The 19,141-nt window shown below is 45.8% G+C and overlaps 1 long non-coding RNA gene across 1 annotated transcript in view, besides 1 other annotated feature; it reads left to right on the top strand.

Annotated features, from left to right (window-relative positions):
* Positions 6,214-6,414: a silencer, noted in NCBI's record as "peak7326 fragment used in MPRA reporter construct". NCBI's record gives its function as "represses an SCP1 promoter by STARR-seq MPRAs in K562 erythroleukemia cells {active_cell/tissue: K562}" and the evidence as "EXISTENCE:reporter gene assay evidence [ECO:0000049][PMID:32103011]".
* Positions 8,416-19,141, top strand: part of LOC105376253 (uncharacterized) — a 44,641-nt gene continuing 33,915 nt past the window's right edge. Inside the window, exons 1-2 of the long non-coding RNA XR_002956934.2 lie at positions 8,416-8,603; positions 15,933-16,074. This is a non-coding gene — a long non-coding RNA (uncharacterized LOC105376253). The remainder of the gene's footprint in view (positions 8,604-15,932; positions 16,075-19,141) is intronic.

Genomic DNA, 19,141 nt, shown 5'->3' with positions numbered 1-19,141 from the left:
TGGAGTCAGAGCCTGGGTTGGGAGCATTTTTTCCAACATGTCCTAGCAATTTCTTCTCTGTGAGGCTCAGTTTCCTCACCTGTAAAGTGGGGAAGACAGGCTTGGCTTTAAAAGGGTTTTTGTGGGGGGGTCCGTGCTATGAAGAGTGCAGAAGCCCTTGATAAATGCTCGAGGGCTGTGCATTCATGAGGCCACAGGCCTCACGTAGATCCTGCGATGGAGGGAGGGATAAGCTCGTGGAACCGCGTTAGTGCCACGCATTCATTTCTCATCGGGGAGACTGAGGCCCAGGAGGGGGAACAGCTCATCTGAGGCCTCTGGTGCTTGCTCTGGGAGGTCTGCCACAGCCCCTCGAAGTGAGAGCTGACGTGACAAAGTGGTGCCGAGGAGGGCGCCTGGCATAAAATGAAATTGCTTATCAGAGAAATAACGCTAAAAGTAAAATAAATTAGACTTTGCACTGACATCGTAATTTTAAAAATTAATTAAGAATAAAAAGAAGATGCATCTCGAAGGAAGGGAGAAGTCTAATTTTGACAGACAGTAATTAATTCCTTTGTTCAGGGATTCATTAGCGAGCCTGAAGTACAAATTACTCCTTTGCAGGGCCTGAAATCCCCAGGGGCCTTTGCAAGGCAGTGCCAGGTCTAAGGGCCCATGGCAGGGAGGCTACTTCTGGGGACTTGTGTCCGGGGCCCCCCAACACTGACTCCAGGCTGGACTGCTCTGAGTTTTGGAGTGGGTGGTCCCCATGGAGTGTGACTATGGGCCTCCCATCCCTAACCATGCCTTGGTCAGGCTGTGGGCTCTTAAAACTGAGCACCTACTGTGTGCTATGCTGGGGCTGGCTGGGTGCTGAGTGCCTATGGGGAACTGGATAGGGCTTTGGCCCTTGCTGGGCTCACAGTCAGATGGAGGAGATGGACCCTCCTTACAACATGTGCTACTTGCTGTGCTGTCATTGGGGAAGGAGAGGGGGTTGGTGATACATGGGATGTGGAGGAGGTGGCTCTTAAGGTGAGTCTCAGAAGTTGGTTAGGGATTGTCCAGGAAAGAAGGGGAGTGGGGCATTCAAGGCAGAGCAAAACACAAAGGGGAGAAACAGCATGGCCTCCGGGAGCTGCTTGCATGGGCACTGTCTGGAGTGTGAAATGTTAAAGGGAATGCACGAGGCAGGCTGGATGCCGTCCATAGGGAGGGTCTGGTGGCCTTGAATGCCAGGCTCAGGAAGTTGGGCTTTATCCTGAGGACAGCAGGAGTCATTGAAGGGTCTAAGGCAGGAGGGTGGTTTGTATTTCAGAAAGAGACCACAGTGTCTGAAGTCCCACCACTACGTCTACTCCTCTGTACCCTGAGTGCTGACCTTCCAGAACAGAGTTCCTTTCCTTCATGTTCCTAGGGCACATTGCTGCTTTTTACAATAGATGTCTTAATTTTGAAACAATCCTAGACATACAGAAAAGTTGCAGATATGGTACAAAGAACTTTCTATTCCTGAACCATTTGAGAATTATGTGCCATCTGATACCTCAGTACACCTGAATAGTGTGTCTTTCATACAAATATGGACATTCTCCTACATAATCATATAATAATGGGTAACTGTATTAGTTACCTATTGCTGTGTAACAAATGACCCCCAAAGTTAGCAGCTCAAAACAAAAAGCATTGATTGTTTCACAGGCACAACTTAACCAGTGGCTAGAAGTCTCCCATGAGATGCAGTCACACTGTCGGCCAGGGCTGCAGTTGTTCTGACCTGACTGGGTCTGAAGGACCCACGTCCAAGTTCACTGAACTGGTCGTTAGGAGGCTTCAGTTCCTCCTGGGCTGTTGGGCTGAGGGCCTGTGTTCATCACCGTGATGGGAAAACCTCTTAGGGCTTTCCACAGTATAGCAGTCAAAAAGACCACAGTCTTTTTGGAACCTGCTCTTGGAAGTGACTCCCCATCTCTTCTGCGATATTCTCAGTCAAGGGAGTGAATACAGGGGGTGAGGTTCACTGGGGGCCATCTCAAAGGCTCCCTACCACAGCAACCATTGCCATCGGAGCATTCACATTGATACATTACTACTGTCTAATTCAGACTCCACCCAGGTTTCCCCAAACATCCCAATAATTGTCCTTCACAGCCAAAGGATCTGGGATCAGTATCGTGTGTTGCACCCAGCTGTCATGTCTCTAGTCTCCTTTAGCCTGGAAACAGTTCCTCGTTCTTTCTGGGATCAGTATCACAAGTGTTGCATGTAGCCATCTCTATTCTCCTTCAGCCTGGATCAGTTCCTCACTCTTCCCGGGGTCAGTATCACGAGTGTTGCATCCAGCCATCATGTCTCTAGTCTCCTTCAGCCTGGATCAGTTCCTCACTCTTCCCGGGGTGAGTATCACATCTGTTGCATGTAGCCATCTCTAAGCTCCTTCAGCCTGGAACAGTTGTTCCTCACTCTTTTCTAAACTTTCATGACCTTGGCATTTTTGCCATTATTTCCCAGAATGTCCGTTCATCGAGGTTTGCCTGATGGTTCCTCGCAATCAGATCCAGATCATGCTTCTTAGGAAGCATATCCCAGAAGCGATACGTCGTCTCAGTACCTTCTACCAGGTTGTGTGAGTTTGGATATGTTGCATTACTACTGGTGTTCATTTTGATCACTTGATGTACATGGTGTCTGTTCCTTCTTTTATCTTTGTAATTAGTAATTATTTTGTGGAGGTGCTTTGAAACTATGACAATATCCCCTTCTTGCATCAAACTTTCAATTTAACTTTTCAATTAATTCACTTATTTCCATCTGTACAGACTTACAGTTTTATTTGAGTCTGTGAGTTATAATCCATTACTATCATTCCTTATGTTGATGCCCACCTTGTCTAAGGTTGGCCAGCAGGAGACCCTTTGAGCTGGCTCCTGGGTCTTCCTGACAAGAAGCATTCACTCTTTGAAACTTTTACCTCTTCCATCATTTCATGCAAGTCCCCCAGCGGCCCTGTGACCACTATTCCCATTGTTTGTGGGAGGATGTGGAGATAGCTGTCTCCACCTCACCTTTTGGCCTCAAGCCTACTGCTTTCCAAGGTGCTTTGTGAGCCTCATGCCCCAGGGCCCTTAATGGAAAGGCTGAGGAGGAGGAAGTGGGTGTATCCCTCAGCACAGCCCCTGCCTCAGCTAGACCCTGGGAAGCAGGCTGCCTCCCTTCACCACGTGTTCTTGCAGGTAGAATATTCTTTGTGGGGCTCAAGCTCAGCCATCAGACCCTGGAGGGCCTTTGAGAATCATTTGGTCACCCTTCCCTTCCTGACAGCTCAGAGAGGGAAAGGTACTTTCCCAGTGTCACAAAGCACACTAGTGGCAGAGCTGCAGTTAGAGCCCATGTTCCCTCTTTCCTAGCCTGGACCCTGGAATAATGGAATGTGGTGGATATGTTCTGCGGACAGGGGCACAGATCATGAGAAAAGGCGTGAATGTGGAGCCATGCCACCCTTCCCTCAATGTGAGCTCCATCTCCTGACCTGTAGGGTGGGACACTCGCTCCAGGATCTTTCTGGCTGGTCTTCCCTGGCCCTCTAACCTCCTCCACTGCCCTCTTCCCTTGTGGGGAAGACAGATGGAGTGGCTCACTTATGCAGAATCAGTAGGCACCTATTACTCGGGTTAGAGTGGAAGACCTGGTTTGAGGTGATTTAGAAAACTACACATTTATCTTCTGGAACTGGGAGCTGAGAGGGAGGGGACTTATTTGCATAAGCAACCCAGAGCCTTTTAGGAGAACAGAGCAGAGACCACAGCTTCTGCTGCCAGCGACACACAACTTGGGGGAGATCTATCAGGGAGGACTGGCATGGCCTTCAGTGAGGTTTGGAAGCAAGGAGGCCAAGGAGGTCTGGAAAATACCTTGCCTTTGGGGAAGGGGGACTGTTTCATGTGTGGGTGGTGATGGCACCCTTGGGACTGGCCACCTGGCATCCTGGATGTGTTACTGTGAACGAAGAGAGCAGCAAGGCTAAATGTGCCAGCTATGACAATGCATACAAATGGTTAAAGCCTCTTATTGAACTGATGAAAACATTTATGCTGAGTGATCAGTAGTGAAAAACTAGAAGTACCTAAAATATTCAATAATAGGAGCTTGATTAAATAGATTTTGGTACTCTGGAGTATGATACTGGCCAAAAAAAATCTTTGAGAATTGTTAATGAAATGGAGATATGCTCATAATATAATGTTGAATGGAGAAAGCAGGATGCAATATGTGATATGATTTCAGGGGTGTTAGTAAAACTGAATGGAACAGAGTCCGCCAAAATGTTAACAGGGTTTAAATCTGGATTGTGGGATTGTGGGTGACTTTTATTTCCTTCTTTATCTTTCTGTGTTTGCTGCAATAAACAATATTACTTATATTACTTGCAATAAAAATATTATAAAAACAATATTACTTTTACAATAAGAAAAAAAAACCCATAAAAATTTACAAAAGGAGGCTGACACCACTTAATTCACAAGTGACACTATCTTAGTGGAGAGCCATTACTATTCCTTCCACAGTGATTTTTCTTACCATATCCAGAGGCACAGATCACCTGAATCATACCCTGCTCCCTCAAATATCCCATTTCTGCATGAGGATGGCATTTATTTATTTTTTTAAATTTTCTTTTTTTTTTTTTTGAGACGGAGTCTCTCGCTGTTGCCCGGGCCGGTGTGCAGTGGTGCAATCTCAGCTCACTGAAACCTCCACCTCCCAGATTCAAGCAATTCTCCTGCCTCAGCCTCCCGAGTAGCTGGGATTACAGGTGCCCGCCACCATACCTGGCTAATTTTTTTGTTGTTGTGTTTTTATTGGAGATGGAGTTTCACTATGTTGGCCAGGCTGGTCTCGAACTCCTGACCTCGCGATCCGCCTACCTCGGCCTCCCAAAGTGCTGGGATTACAGGTGTCAGCCACAGCGCCTGGCTGAGGGTGGCATTTATAAATGCAAAATAGAGTTAAAGGAAGAAAGGACCGGACGATCAAATACCTAGTAGGAAGAAGAAGGAGAAGCAGGAGGAGAAAATGAAGACAATTGTAGCTGAGTGACCCATGATTACTGGGGGAGCTATTTTCATTCCAGTGATTGGAAGGGGCTGCAGTGAGTCATTCACACTCCCTCACCCTCACCACTTGGGAATTATGGCATATATATATTTGTGGGGTGGTTGGGCAGAATTAGGTAGGATGCAATCTGTGGTCAGAGAACAGAAGCAGTTTGACTGACCAAGGAACTGAACTAATCATCATAAAAAATGAAACCCCAGAGTGTTTATAAAGTACGTTTTCCTGTTTTATTTCACCATCTCAACAACCCCATGGGGTAGATAGTATTATCTCTATTTTGGTAACAAGGAGGCTAAGGTCAGAGATGCTAAGAATTTTGTCCAAGTTGCATAGCTCCTAGCAGGATTTGGACTTTTGGCTGGCCGTCCAAATGTCGAGTTTTGATCACACCCCTTGTGACCATCACTGTACCAGATGGTGTTCTGGCCACTGAAAAACACTGGTGGCCTGATCCTGAAAGCCTTAGGGTCACCATTTGGGCTGTGGTTCTAACACCTTTTCCTGGAATTCCTTGCTGGTGAACTCCTCTTCTTTCTAGAAGATTCCCTGGGTTAGCACCACACATTAGCAGAACATATGAGCCAAATGGCTTTCCCAGCCTTTTTTTTTTAAGCAAAAGGGGAATTCAAGCTCGGCATGGTGCCTCATGCCTACAATCCCAGCACTTTGGGAGGCTGAGATGGGTGGACTGCTTGAGCCTGGGAGATCAAGACCAGCTTGGGCAACATGATGAAACCCTGCCTCTACAAAAAATACAGAAATTAGCCAGGCCTGGTGGCATGTGCCTGTAGTTCCAACTACTTGGGAGGCTGAGGTGGGAGGATCACTCGAGCCCAGGAGGTTGAGGCGGCAAATGAGCTGAGATCATGCCACTGCTCTCCAGCCTGCGTGACAGAGTGAGAGTCTGTCTCAAAAAAAGAGGTAGGAGAGAATTCAATGGGTAAGATAACAGAAATCTGAAGAATAATATATGCTTCAGGCACATCCAGGGATTCAATAATGTCATCAGCTCTGATGTTGCTTCAGTCTATATGCAGATTCGTGTCCAGTAGCAGGCAGATGGATACAGAAAGCCCCAGGGTACCATTCTCCTGACTTGACAGTGCTGGCCTAAAATCAGCATCTTCCCCAACAGTGCTGGTGAAAAAGTCCCAGGGAAGGTTCTGATTGGCCAGGATGGGTCATGTGACCACTCCTGTGGCCACAAGGGCAGGTCTGCCCTACCTCACACATGCAAATGGGTATCCCCAGGGAAAGAGGGGTGTTCTCACCAAACAAAAACAGATGTCTATCAACAATTGAAGCTTTAAATATAGTTCTATTTCTTGACTCATCTTCTTTGGACATATTTGTTGCCTCTCTGCTGAGAAAGTTGAGGAATTGAGCACACTTTATTGCCTTCCAACTCTCCTGTCCCTTGCTGAATTTTGCAGTTACAGACATTATTCTTATTTCTTCTACAGATTGCCTTTTTAAGTTTTAATAACCTACTATCTATTTCTTGATTTATTTCTTTTGGATTGTAAGTATTGATCTCTGCTATGAAAAATAAAGAAGTCCATGTACTTACACTTTCTTCTGTGTTTCCCATCTGCACCCAATTCTTGTTAAATAATTATTCTTACATTGTCAAGGTTCATAACATTTATATTCACTCTGTTACCATAATGGTCTTTCATGATTTCTCCATAGGTTATTTCTAAAATTTTAAGCCCAATAAAAATATCATTTATATATTTTAGATTGTGGAAATACTCACTGCAGAACCAAGTGATGTGATTAGGCCTGTAGAGATGAGAATGTAATCAATTCTATGTCTGGAAACCCTTACTGCTCAAAGGGAATGTTCTAAACATCAGGGTCAGCAGATTCTCTTATAATTTGGTTTGCACTTTCCTTGATCTTAACTTATCCTTAGATATCATTATTTCCTGTGTCTACTCTTTTTCTCTTTAATGCCAAACTTACCATTTTAATGATTTTAAAGTGTATAAATCAGTGGTGTTAAGCGCATTCATAATATCATGCACTCATCGCTGCTGTCTAGTTCCAGAATTTTTTCCTTACCCTAAAAGGAAACCTTCCATCTATTAAGCAGTCACCCCTCATTCCTCCCTCTCACCACCCCCAGCAACTACTAATCTGCTTTCTATCTCTGTGGATTTGCTTGTTGTGGACATTTAATATAAAGGGAATCATATAACATGTGGCCTTTTGTGTCTGGCTTCTTCATGTAACAAAATGTTTTTAAGGTTCATCCATGTTGTAGCATGTATGGGTGCGTCATTCCTTGTTCACAGCTGAATGATATTCCATTGTATGGATGCACCATATTTTATTTATCCTGTCATCAATTGATGGATATTTGGGTTGTTTCCACCTTTTGGCTATGGTGAATAGTGTTGCTGTGAACATTTGTGTATCAATATTTGTTTGAGTTTCTGCTTTCAATTCTTTTTACTTTTTTTTTTTTTGAGACAGGGTCTTACCCTGTCACCCAGGCTGGAATGCAGTGGTGCAATCACAGCTCACTACAGCCTCGACCTCCTGGACTCAGGTGATTCTCCCACTTCAGCCTCCCAGGTAGCTGGGACTACAGGCCATGCCCAACTATTTTTTTGTATTTTTTTTTTTTTTTTTTTGAGACGGAGTCTCGCTCTGTCGCCCAGGCCGGACTGCGGACTGCAGTGGCGCAATCTCGGCTCACTGCAAGCTCCGCTTCCCGGGTTCACGCCATTCTCCTGCCTCAGCCTCCCGAGTAGCTGGGACTACAGGCGCCCGCCACCATGCCCGGCTAATTTTTTTTTTGTATTTTTAGTAGAGACGGGGTTTCACCTTGTTAGCCAGGATGGTCTCGATCTCCTGACCTCATGATCCACCCGCCTTGGCCTCCCAAAGTGCTGGGATTACAGGCGTGAGCCACTGTGCCCAGCCTGCTTTCAGTTATTTTGGGTAGATGCTTAGGAGTGAAATTGTTAGATCGTATGGTAATTCTATGCTTAATTTGTTGATGAACCACCGAACTGTTTTCCAAACTGTGGAACTATAGAACCCTGGGTAAAACTGCTTTTCTTTGGAATTTAGAAGCTGTGGGAGGCTCAATGGTTCCCCTAAAATATCCAGGTCCTAATTCCTGGAATCTGTGAACATTATATGGCAAAGGGGACTTTGTAGATGTGATTATGGAACTTGAGAGGGAGAGATTATCCTGGACTATTCAGGAGGGCCCTAAATGTAATCCCAAGAGTCCTTCCTAGAGGGAGGTAGAGGGAGATTCATCTAGAGAGGAAGAAGATGATGTGACTACTGAAGCAATGTTCTGTGCTCCTGCTGGCTTTGAAGCAGGAAGAGGCCGGGAGCCAAGGAATGTAAGGAATGCAGCTCTAGAAGCTGGAAAAGGCCAGGAAACCAAGCGGAGTGTCCTTTGGAGCCTCTGGACGGTGTGCAGTCGGACAGCTTGGTTTCTGTCTAATGAAACTCATTTCAGGCTTCTCACCTCCAGAACTGTAAGAGAGTAAATCTGTGTTGTTTTAAGCCATTAAGTCTGTGGTCATTGATTACAGCAGCGCTAGGCATTTAAGATAGAGGCCTTGCTATTTCCTACAGCATTCGGTAGGGTGGATAACTTTGGTAGGCAGTGTTTTTGCTCTCCAGAAGCGTTTAAAATTTTCTCTCTTTTTTTTTTTTTTTGAGGTGGAGTCTCGCTCTTGTTGCCCAGGCTGGAGTGCAGTGGCGTGATCTCAGCTCACTGCAATTCCCACCTCCCAGGTTCAAACAATTATCCTGCCTCGCCTCCCAAGTGGCTGGGATTACAGGCACCTGCCACCACGCCTGGCTAATTTTTCTTTTTTGTAGTAGAGACGGGGTTTCACCATGTTGGCCAGGCTGATCTGAAACTCCTGACCTCAAGTCATCCGCCTGCCTTGGCCTCCCAAAGTGTTGGGATTACAGGCATGAGCCCAGTGTGCCTGGTACAAAATTTCTTGCTTATCTTTGGAATGCCAAAAATCTCACCTAGAGCTGCATCTTTCTCATTCATCCTGCTTGGCGTTAGTGCCTTCTGTTCTCTAAGGCTGCAGGTATCCCCAGCATCCCAAATGCAGCCCCTTGACAAATCTCCTGATGACATCCCCATCCCTGAGGCCAGCACAGCTGTTGGCATTAGTGACTTGGAGCCTGGACCTTCTTTTAGCCTCTCTGGAAGTCGCAGGGTAAGTTCTGCTGTCTTGGATCGTGGTTTGCTCAGCTTTCCCCTGTCAATTCGTTGGTGCGTTTTTACTTATTTTTTTACTTCAAACATTTTAAAACAGATACAAAAGCAGAGACTAGCATGGTGAAATCCCAGATGCCCATGATCCAGTTTCAACAGTGATATGGTTTGGATCTGTGTCCCCACCCAAATCTCATGTTGAATTGTAATCCCCAGTGTTGGAGATGGGGCCTGCTGGGAGGTGATTGAATCATGGGGACAGATTTCCCTGTTGGTGCTGTTCTTGTGATAGTGAGAGTGAGTTCTCATGAGATGTGGTCATTTAAAAGTGTGTGAACCTCCCCCTCTTCTCTCTCTCCTTTCTGCTCAGGCCCTGTGAGATGAGCCTGCTTCCCCTTTGCCTTCCACCACAATTGTAAGTTTCCTGAGGCCTCCCCAGAAGCAGAAGTCGCTATGATTCCCTATACAGCTTGAAGAACCATGAGCCAATTCAACCTCTTTTCTTTTCTTTTTTATTATTTTAAATTCTGGGGTACAAGTGCAGAATGTGCAGGTTTGTTACATAGGTAAATGTGTGCCACGGTGGTTTGCTGCACCTATTGACCTGTCACCTAAGTGTTAAGCCCAACACACGTTAGCTATTTTTCCTGAACTTCGCCCTCTCCCCACTTCTCCCCTCTTCTGACAGGCCCCAGTATGTGTTGTTCCTCTCCCTGTGTCCATGTGTTCTCATCGTTCAGCTCCCACTTATGAGTGAGAACATGTGGTGTTTGGTTTTCTGTTCCTGTGTTAGTTTGCTAAGGATAGTGGCTTCCAGCTCCATCCATGTCTCTGCAAAGGACATGATCTCATTCTTTTTTATGGCTGCATAGTATTCCATGGTGTTTATGTACCACATTCTCTTTATCCAATCTATCACTGATGGATATTTAGGTTGACTCCACATCTTTGCTATTGTGGATAGTGGTGCAATAAACATACACATACATGCATATATATATATATATATTTTTTTTTTTTTTTTTTTTTTTTTCTTTTTTGAGATGGAGTCTCGCTCTGTCACCCAGGCTGGAGTGCAGTGGCGTGGTCTTGACTCACTGCCAGCTCCGCCTCCCGGGTTCACGCCATTCTCCTGCCTCAGTCTCCCGAGTAGCAGGGACTACAGGCGCCCACCACCACGCCCGGCTAATTTTTTGTAATTTCAGTAGAGACGGGGATTCACCATGTTAGCCAGGATGGTCTTGATCTCCTGACCTCGTGATCCGCTCGCCTTAGCCTCCCAAAATTCTAGGATTAAAGGCGTGAGCCGCTGTGCCTGGCCACATATATCTTTATAATAGAATGATATATATACTTTTGGGTATATAACAGCTATCAATATTCCTCTCTACTTGCCTTACTTCCCCTGATTTCTTTTCCTTTTTCTCTTTGTGAAATTAGTGCTCTCCCCACCACCATTAAATATTGAGAAGTGATTCTACATGTTAGAACATGTAGAATATTGAGAAGTGATTCTCAATATTTAATGTGCTAACGAATCACCTGAGGATCTCATTAAATTCCAAATTCTGATTTGGTAATTCTGGGGTAAAATCTGAGCATTTGCATTTCTAACAAGCTCCCAGGTGAAATTGTTTCTGCTAGTCCCCAGGGATGCACTTGAGTAACAAATTCTAGACCCCATGTAATTTCACCCCATACAGCCCAGCCTGTGCTGCTATAAAACATGTAGAATTGGTGCACCTTTAAAATAATCAAATATGCATGCATACATTTTCTTTGTTTATGTGTTGTTCTGTTTTTTTTTTCTTCTGTTAAATTATATACGTTCCTCAAAGGCAGGAACTTTGCTGGTTCTTGTCCCTCTGTATCCTAACCATCTGGTATGGATCACCTTCCTCACTCTGAGAAGATTAAGAATTGCTTCTCTTACTGACCACAAATCAATCTCTCTCTCTCTTTCTCTCTCTCTCTCCCTCTCTCCCCCCTAATCATTGCCTTGCCCAAGCCTCTGCTAGTTCTGTTCTGATAAGATCTCAAGCACTAGAGCAAAGTAGGGAGGTCACAGTGCAGTGCAGGGAGCTTTGGTGTAGGAGGCAGAGGCCTGGGATCTGGCTGTCAGCAGTCGCCTCTCTTAGCTGCTATTGGTGGTGCTTCAAATGTGCTTGACTTTGGAGTCGGCTACTCTCAGTTTCCTCTCCTCACTGCAGGATCCAGGCTGACCACACTTTCTTTGGTCTTTGCCTCAACAGCTAAGGAGAGGGAGGGCTCAAGAAGAGAGCTGCCTCTGTCCCCAGGGAGATGAGAACTATCTCCTAGGAATTAGCTGTGCAAATCCAGACCTGAAAAAGGACAGCAAATGTCACCTTTTCATTCCCCTGCATGATTAGAGCATTCAGTTAGGTCCCATCTAGGACTCAATGGCCCATCTATAAGGCTGTAGTAGGTCTGTGGAAGGTGCAGAAGACAGATCCGGTCCCTGCCCTTGAAGCACTTCCACCTAGACTGTCTTAGTCAGAGGGCTGCTATAACACACTACCAACTGTGAGGCTTAAACAACAGATGTTTAGATGTTTATTTCTCACAGTTCTGCAGGCTGAGGAATCCAAGATCAAGGTGCTGGCCAATTCAGTTCCTGGTAAGTGCTCTCTTCCTAGCTTATAGATAGCTGTCTTCTCGCCATATCATCACATGGCAGAGAGAGAGAGGGGCATGGGTCTCTTCCTCTTCTTATAAAAACATGAATTTGGCCAGGTGCAATGGCTCATGCCTGTAATCCCAGCACTTTGGGAGGCCAAGGTGGGAGGACTGCTTGAACCCCAGAATTCGAGAACCAGCCTGGGCAACATAGCAAAACTCCATTTCTACAAAAAGAAAAAAAAAAAAAGCCAGGTATAGTGGCATGCCTGTAATCCCAGCTGCTTGGGAGGTTGAGGTATGATATGGTTTGACTCTGTATCCCCACCCAAATCTCACCTTGAATTGCAATCCCCATAATCCCCATAATCAAGGGCAGGACCAGGTGGAAGTAATTGGATCATGGGGATGGTTTCCCCCATGCTGTTGTGATAATGAGTGAGTTCTCATAAGATCTGATGGTTTTATAAGTGTCTGGCATTTCCCCTGCTGGGACTCACTCGGTCCTGCTGCCCTATGAAGAAGGTGCCTGTTTCTCCTTTGCCTCTGCCATGATTGTAAGTTTCTTGAGACCTCCCCAGCAGTGCAGAACTGTGAGTCAATTAAACCTCTTTCCTTTATAAATTACCCAGTCTCGGGTGTTTCTTCACAGCAGTGTGAGAACCAACATAAGATGGGAGGAGGGCTTGAGACAGGGAGGTCAAGGCTGCAGTGAGTCACGATTGAGCCACTGCACTCCAGCCTGGTCAACAGAGCAAGACCTTGTCTCAAAACAAAGCATGAAAACCCCACAAATCTCATCATGGGGACCCCACCCTTAGTACCTCATCTATACCTATTAATAATTACATCCTAAAGACTGTACCTGCAAATACCACTTGTTTAGAATGAGAGCTTCAGCATGTGAATTTGAGGGAGGTACATTCATTCAGTCAATAGCACAGATCAACAAGAAACAGATTTCATATTTCTCCAGGCCAGTGAGTAGCCAGACCTCTTGATAGTGGACACCCAGAATCAGGTAAGGGCATTCTGGGGATTGTAGTTTGGATGAGTTCAAGATTTCAAAGAGGGTCAAGAGCCAGGAAAAGATTCTTTCTGGAAGAGCTGTATCAAATGGAAGCCTCTGGGCCTCTGTAAACTAGCCTGGGAGCCGGCACCTCGGAGGCTCTCAGGAGGACAGAGTCAGAGAAGATCTGTGACGGTGGGGCAGGTGTGGTGGGCCTCTTTGGCACTCTGTGCAGTGCTTGGGACATCATGATGCTTAGTAAATATTGGATGAGTAAGTCAGTGTTGTTTTGTATTCTTCTTGAAGAAATGGTTTGGGATCCATGAAAAAACATTGCTGGATGAATGAATGAAAGAATATTGCTCAAAACTCAGAATATGGCTAGACCTCTGAAAAGTGTTTTCTCCAGATCCAGAAGAAAATGTTAGAATTGTGTGTGGACCTTCACTCGAAGCTGGGCTCTTAAGAAATTGGAGCAGAAAATCATAAGGAGGGTAAAGCCGAGATGAACAGATACTTCGATGAAATATAAAGAGAGATGGATGAGATAAGGAAGGATTACAAGGATTTAAAAGGCTATAGAATCATTACAACATCCCTGGAAACATTGATGTTGAAATCAACTTTATGGAAAATCAAATCAGTGTTGTAGAGGATGATCTTAAGTTCTCTTTGAAGGCAGAATAAAAGGATAAAGACAGAAACTTTGGGGGCGATAATAGATATTATGGTGGTTCTTGAGGAAGAACAGGACTATAAGCCCCAAAGCAGAAATTTTAAAATGTTGTTTATTTATTTATTAGGATCAGAGTCTCGCTCTGATGCCAGGCTGGAGTGCAGTGGCGCTATCTTGGCTCACTGCAACCTCCGCCTCCCGAGTTCAAGCGATTCTCCTGCATCAGCTTCCTGAGTAGCTGGGATTACAGGCATGTGCCACCACGCCTGGCTAACTTTATATTTTTAGTAGAGACGGGGTTTTGCCATGTTGGTCAGGCTGGTCTCAAACTCCTGATCTCAGGTGATCCACCCACCTGGGACTCCCAAAGTGCTTTGATTACAGGCACGAGCCACTGCACCCAGCCTTAAAATTTTGTTTTGAGACAGGATCTTGGTTTGTTGCTCAGGCTGGAGTGCAGTAGTGTGATCAAGGCTCACTGCATCCTTGAACTCCTGGGCTCACGTGATCCTCTCACCTCAGCCTCTCAAGTAGCTAGGGCTACAGGTGCATGCCACCACTCCTGACTAATTCTTTTTAATTATTGTTTTTAATAGAGACAAGGTCTTGATATATTGCCTAGGCTGGTCTTGAACCCTTGGGCTTAAGTGATTCTCCTGCATCTGCCTCCCAAAGTGCTGGGATTACAGGGAAAAGCCACTGCACCCCCCCAAAGCAGAAATTAAAGATCAGCTGTACAGGTTAAAAAAGCCCCCTTCTTCCTGATGAAGCCAGTGGAAGGAGACTCAGGCTTGGATAAATCCTGGACTATGTGTTGAAATACAAGGAAAAAAGTAAAAACAAGTAGCTTGCAAGGATCTGGACAGGAAAAAGCAAAATATTGAAGAGGCAACTCAGCAAGAAACAAGTCGGGCTGGTTTCAGATTTCCTTTGAAGCAACAGGCCAGCATCTATGGAGTGGGGAAGAAATGGTTGTGGCCCGCTGACTTTCTCTTCTTCCAAAGAATCTTATATATAGAAAGGCTGACCAGGTGTCATGGCTTATGCCTGTAATCCCAGCACATTGGGAGGCCGAGGCAGGTGGATCACTTGAGCCCAGGAGTTCGAGAACAGCCTGGCTAACATGGTGAAACTTTGTCTATACCAAAAATGCAAAAATTAGCCAGGCATGGTGGTGCATGCCTGTAATCCCAGCTACTCAGAAGGCTGAGGTGGGAGAATCGTTTGAACCCGGAAGACGGAGGTTGCAGTGAGCTGAGATTGTGCCACTGCGATCCAGCATGAGCAGTAGAGTAGGACTCCATCTCATAAAAAAAGAGAGGCAGACTGTTTCCTCATCTGCAAGAGGGGGATAAGAACAGTGCTTCCTTATAGGATTCTTTTTGCATAAGGTCCTTGGAACAGTGCCCAGCATATTATCAGCTCCCAATAAATAAAAATGCTGACTTCCTTTGGGCTATGTTCAGTTGGAGGCATCTTGGTTATCCAAGTGGAGATGCCCAGAGGCCTGGCTTCCTGCATTTGGAGCTCAAGAGAGAGGTCCAGGGTGAAGACCACCTAGAGGTCTAGATGGTCATCAAAGCTAAGGGTGCAGATGAAGCCACCAGCAAAGTGTTTGGTGAGATCATTGAAGTTGCAGGAGCACCAGTGTTAGGAGCTGGGCAGATGAGGACGTGCAGTGGGTCCAGGCACAATCTGGGGTTTAACTTGGGTTCTTTTCTTGGCTGTGGTGCTCACCTGGCAATCTACAGTCAAGTAGTTGCCTGACCCAAGACAAATATCTCCTTGTGGATGTGCCTCTGCCAGGCTTGAAGGCCTAGCCCCAGGAACCTGCCCCAGATCGTGGGAGCACCAAATTGCCCACTGCAGCCAGAGCCCCTCTGGCACACCCCTGCCCAGGAGGCTCTCCTCCTGGTACCCGGGAAGGCCCTGGATTTTCATTTCAGAACAGCGGGTCAATCACTGAGCACTCCAGGCTCTGAGTTTTTATTCCCCTCTTGTCAATAAGGACATCTCCCCCTCCTTCTAGATCGGGGCAGGCTAATTGGGACTAGGACATTGAGTGTCTGAAGATTGTATGATTGCGGAAATGCACAAATTTAATTTCACCTGGCCAGATTCAATTCTGCTGTAATCAGATAAATAGAAAACTCCAGTGTAATAATGACGGGGAAGATGAGTTTGTAAACACTTCCCAGGAGCCGAGGCCTCTGGACTTGCCTTGATGGGGCTGGGGAAAGTGAGTAGGTTTGGTGGAGCTTTGTTATCTAATCTCAATAGGTCAATATCCTCTTTTCCTGTAGAGCCTGAGAGTGAGGCCTTTGAATGATGCCCTGGACAGAGCTTGGAACATGAAGGTGAATACTGTTGTGGGGAGAATGCATCCCTTTGCCTGGCTCTGAGCCAGGGCCAGCTTTGGATCCTGCTAGCCCCATGGATATAGAGGTAAGGCTGAGGACCTGGTGGCAGTGCTCTGGGCTAAGGGGAGCCTGGGGCCGGAAACCTTCACATAAAGAGTGACTCAGGTGCTGGCGGGAGGCTGTCCCTTAACCCCTGCGCTTGTTCTATGCACCTTCCTCTCTGTTCCCGCTGCTTCCTCCGCTGGAGTGCCCTTCCTCCCTGGCTCCACCAGGGTACCTCACTCATCCTTCAAAACCAGGGCAGAATGTCCCTTTTGAAAGCCTAGCTGCACCCAGGAAAAGCAGGTCGCTGTGCTCTGCAGCGGCATGGCTACATGAAAGCATCATTATTGTTTTCTTGCCTTTCTCTCCCTGCATCTGCTTTTTTTGTGGAAGCACTAGTTAGATCCAAACTCAGGCCATCTCTATCCCCCGTAACTCAGTCTTAGAAAGAAACAGAGGCAGGTACCATCCTACAGTGTTGGTGGTACAGGGGACAGGGTAGATCCTCAGGCCAGCACTTTTGTGTCACAAGGGCAAGCGCCCCTGGAGCTGCAGGCCTGGCCAGCGGAGACTCTGGGGCATATGCCATGGTGGACTGGTAGACATAAAGGCCTTTGCTTTTGGAGAGGGGTGAGTTCCTATCTTTGTGTCCACTGAGAGAGGAAGGGGAGGCCAGGACCATGGTGGCAGTGGTATGTGGCTTGGCCTTGGCCTGGCCTCTTGGACTGTGCAGATGGCAGTCCTACATGTGGGTGTGGGGCCTGAGCCCTGGTGCTGCCAGGTCAGGGGTTTCTGTAACCTCTCTGGGTCTGTTTCCTCATCTGTGAAATGGGGATAATAGCAGTCTTTCCTTATACATTGTTAGAGAGGATTCAGTGAAATATCCATGCAAAGCTCTTAGAACAGTGCACAGGCTAGCACTCAAGTGTTAGTTGTTAGTAGCAGTGTTTTTTTAGTCATTAGCAGCAGTGACGTCTTTCTGGAGAGGGGTTAGCACCAGAAGCTGCAGGAACAGTCTTTTGGAGGGATCGTGTCTTTCTAGACCCAAGCAGTGCTGTTTCAGGCTTCAGAGATGCTGTATGTTTTGAAATTGGGAAGGGGACCGAGGCACCACAGTTATTCTTTGTTTGGGAGTGCAGAGAAGCAGCTTAGCACCTGCTCTCTGCCAGCATCTTGTGAGCTCTTATTTCATCTTCACAAGAACCTCAGGATAGCTTGACAGTGCCACAGACCCATTTTACAGATCGGAAAACTTAGGAAGCCTGATCATCAGTGCGATAACCAGAATGCAAACACAAGTTTGTCCAACTCTGAAGACTGTGCCACAGGCATTAGCATTCAAAACCTTGATCTCATTTCATATTCCCATGGGTCATGACCACTGGTCTGATTCTCCTCCTTAACTGCCCAGGAAACCCAGCCCAGAGATGCCCAGCATCCTTCAGGTTATGAGCTGTAGGACTGGGGTTTGGTCCTAGGCCTCTGCTTTTTCTTCCATACCAAATGGCCAAAATGGAAGGGTGGTGGGGCTGATGCAGGTTTTTCCTTCCCACCCTGCCCAGGGACCCAAGGATCTGGCTCAGAGGTGACAGAAGGACTGTTCTAACAGTGGTGAGTCATTCACCTCAACAAGCCTTAGCCCCATTTAATGCTAGCCCTGGGATCATGGCTGTAGGAAAAGAGCCTTCATTGCTTACTATCTTTTGAAATTTAATGACCTGTGAATGATAACAGATAATTTGCAAATTTGACATAATCAGTCCTGGCCAATTTTCATTCAATTATTTGTTAATAAACATCAGGACCCCTGGCTGGAGTTTTATGCTTCCAAATTTGAAATAAAAAGCTGGGAGGCTGAATAGAGTAGAATACCTGTCTCTTCGCTTGCTGAATTTTTATAAAGAATTTTATTTCAGCAGCGCTGGGTAACACCCAAGGTTTACTCGGTGTTCATTTGCATTGTGAATTTTTTAAAATAGTAATTATCTGCAAAAGGTCAAATATTTGCTTTATCTATGTAATTCAATTTCCCAAAGGCCTTTGGGATTCAAATTAATGCCCTTGTAATATCTTCATTGAAAAAGAAGATTAATTATGCTTACATGGAACCTAATTTGGCTTATCAGACCTTTAATGTGGCTGTGATCATGGGTGCATTGAAATTTAGGATTACGCGGGTGATCTCGGTCCCATATTTGGGAGACTTTGAATATTTGTCATTATTTTTATGCATATCATTTTTCCCGCCTGCTTGGGAAAATTAAAATGTCGGTTCTGAAAGAAATAAACATTATGTATTGACATTGGTAATTATGTTTTGGTATTTAAGGATGCATAAAAAACTGCACACAGGGCCTCAAATATAAATTTGCAGTTAATGTCCCTAGATGGAAACTGGAGGTCTTCTACCAGACTCAGTAAATTGGGAAAAAGCTCTCTCTGGGGCTGCTGTTCTGTGTAGCCAGGGATAGGGATGTGGGCACATAACTTTTAGCAGTGCTCAAAGATGTTGAAGGTTTGAGTGGTCCCAGGAACTCTGGATTTAGTAGGGTCAGGAGGCCTGGGTTTCCTTCTCGTCACTAAGGTGCTATGTGATTATGATCAATTGGAGGCCCTTTCTGAGTTCCAGGTTCCTGTCTGTGAACAGTAATCATTTGTTTAGGTTCTTTCTCTCTGGACGGTCAGTCGCTCGTGGCAGGGCCGTATCTTATTTCATCTTGAGCTTCCAGGTCTGTCAGCACAGTGTCTGTTACATGTGGACTATATGTAGGATTTTTAAAAATAGCACTCTCTGATAAGGAGATATGTATAAGGTTTTGATTCTTAACAAAGGCAGTGGGATCTTGGAGATAATAGGGATTGTGAGTCAGAGTTCAGCTTTGTATCAGTTAGTTATTGCTGCATAACAAATTATACCAAAACTCAGTGAATTTATATAAGAACTATTGATTATTTTTCAAGAGTCTACAGGTCACCTGTGTGGTTCTGATGATCTGGGATGGATTGGCTAATCTTGGATGAACTTGTTCATGTGTCTTAGATCAGCTGGCAGGTGGGCTGGGGGCTGGCTGGTCTAGGATGGCCTGGGATGAGATGTTCTCCATATTTTC

The sequence above is a fragment of the Homo sapiens genome, chromosome 9, assembly GCF_000001405.40.
Source record: "Homo sapiens chromosome 9, GRCh38.p14 Primary Assembly".
NCBI classification, from domain to species: Eukaryota; Metazoa; Chordata; class Mammalia; order Primates; family Hominidae; genus Homo; species Homo sapiens.
This window is presented reverse-complemented; position numbering and strand designations above follow the sequence as displayed.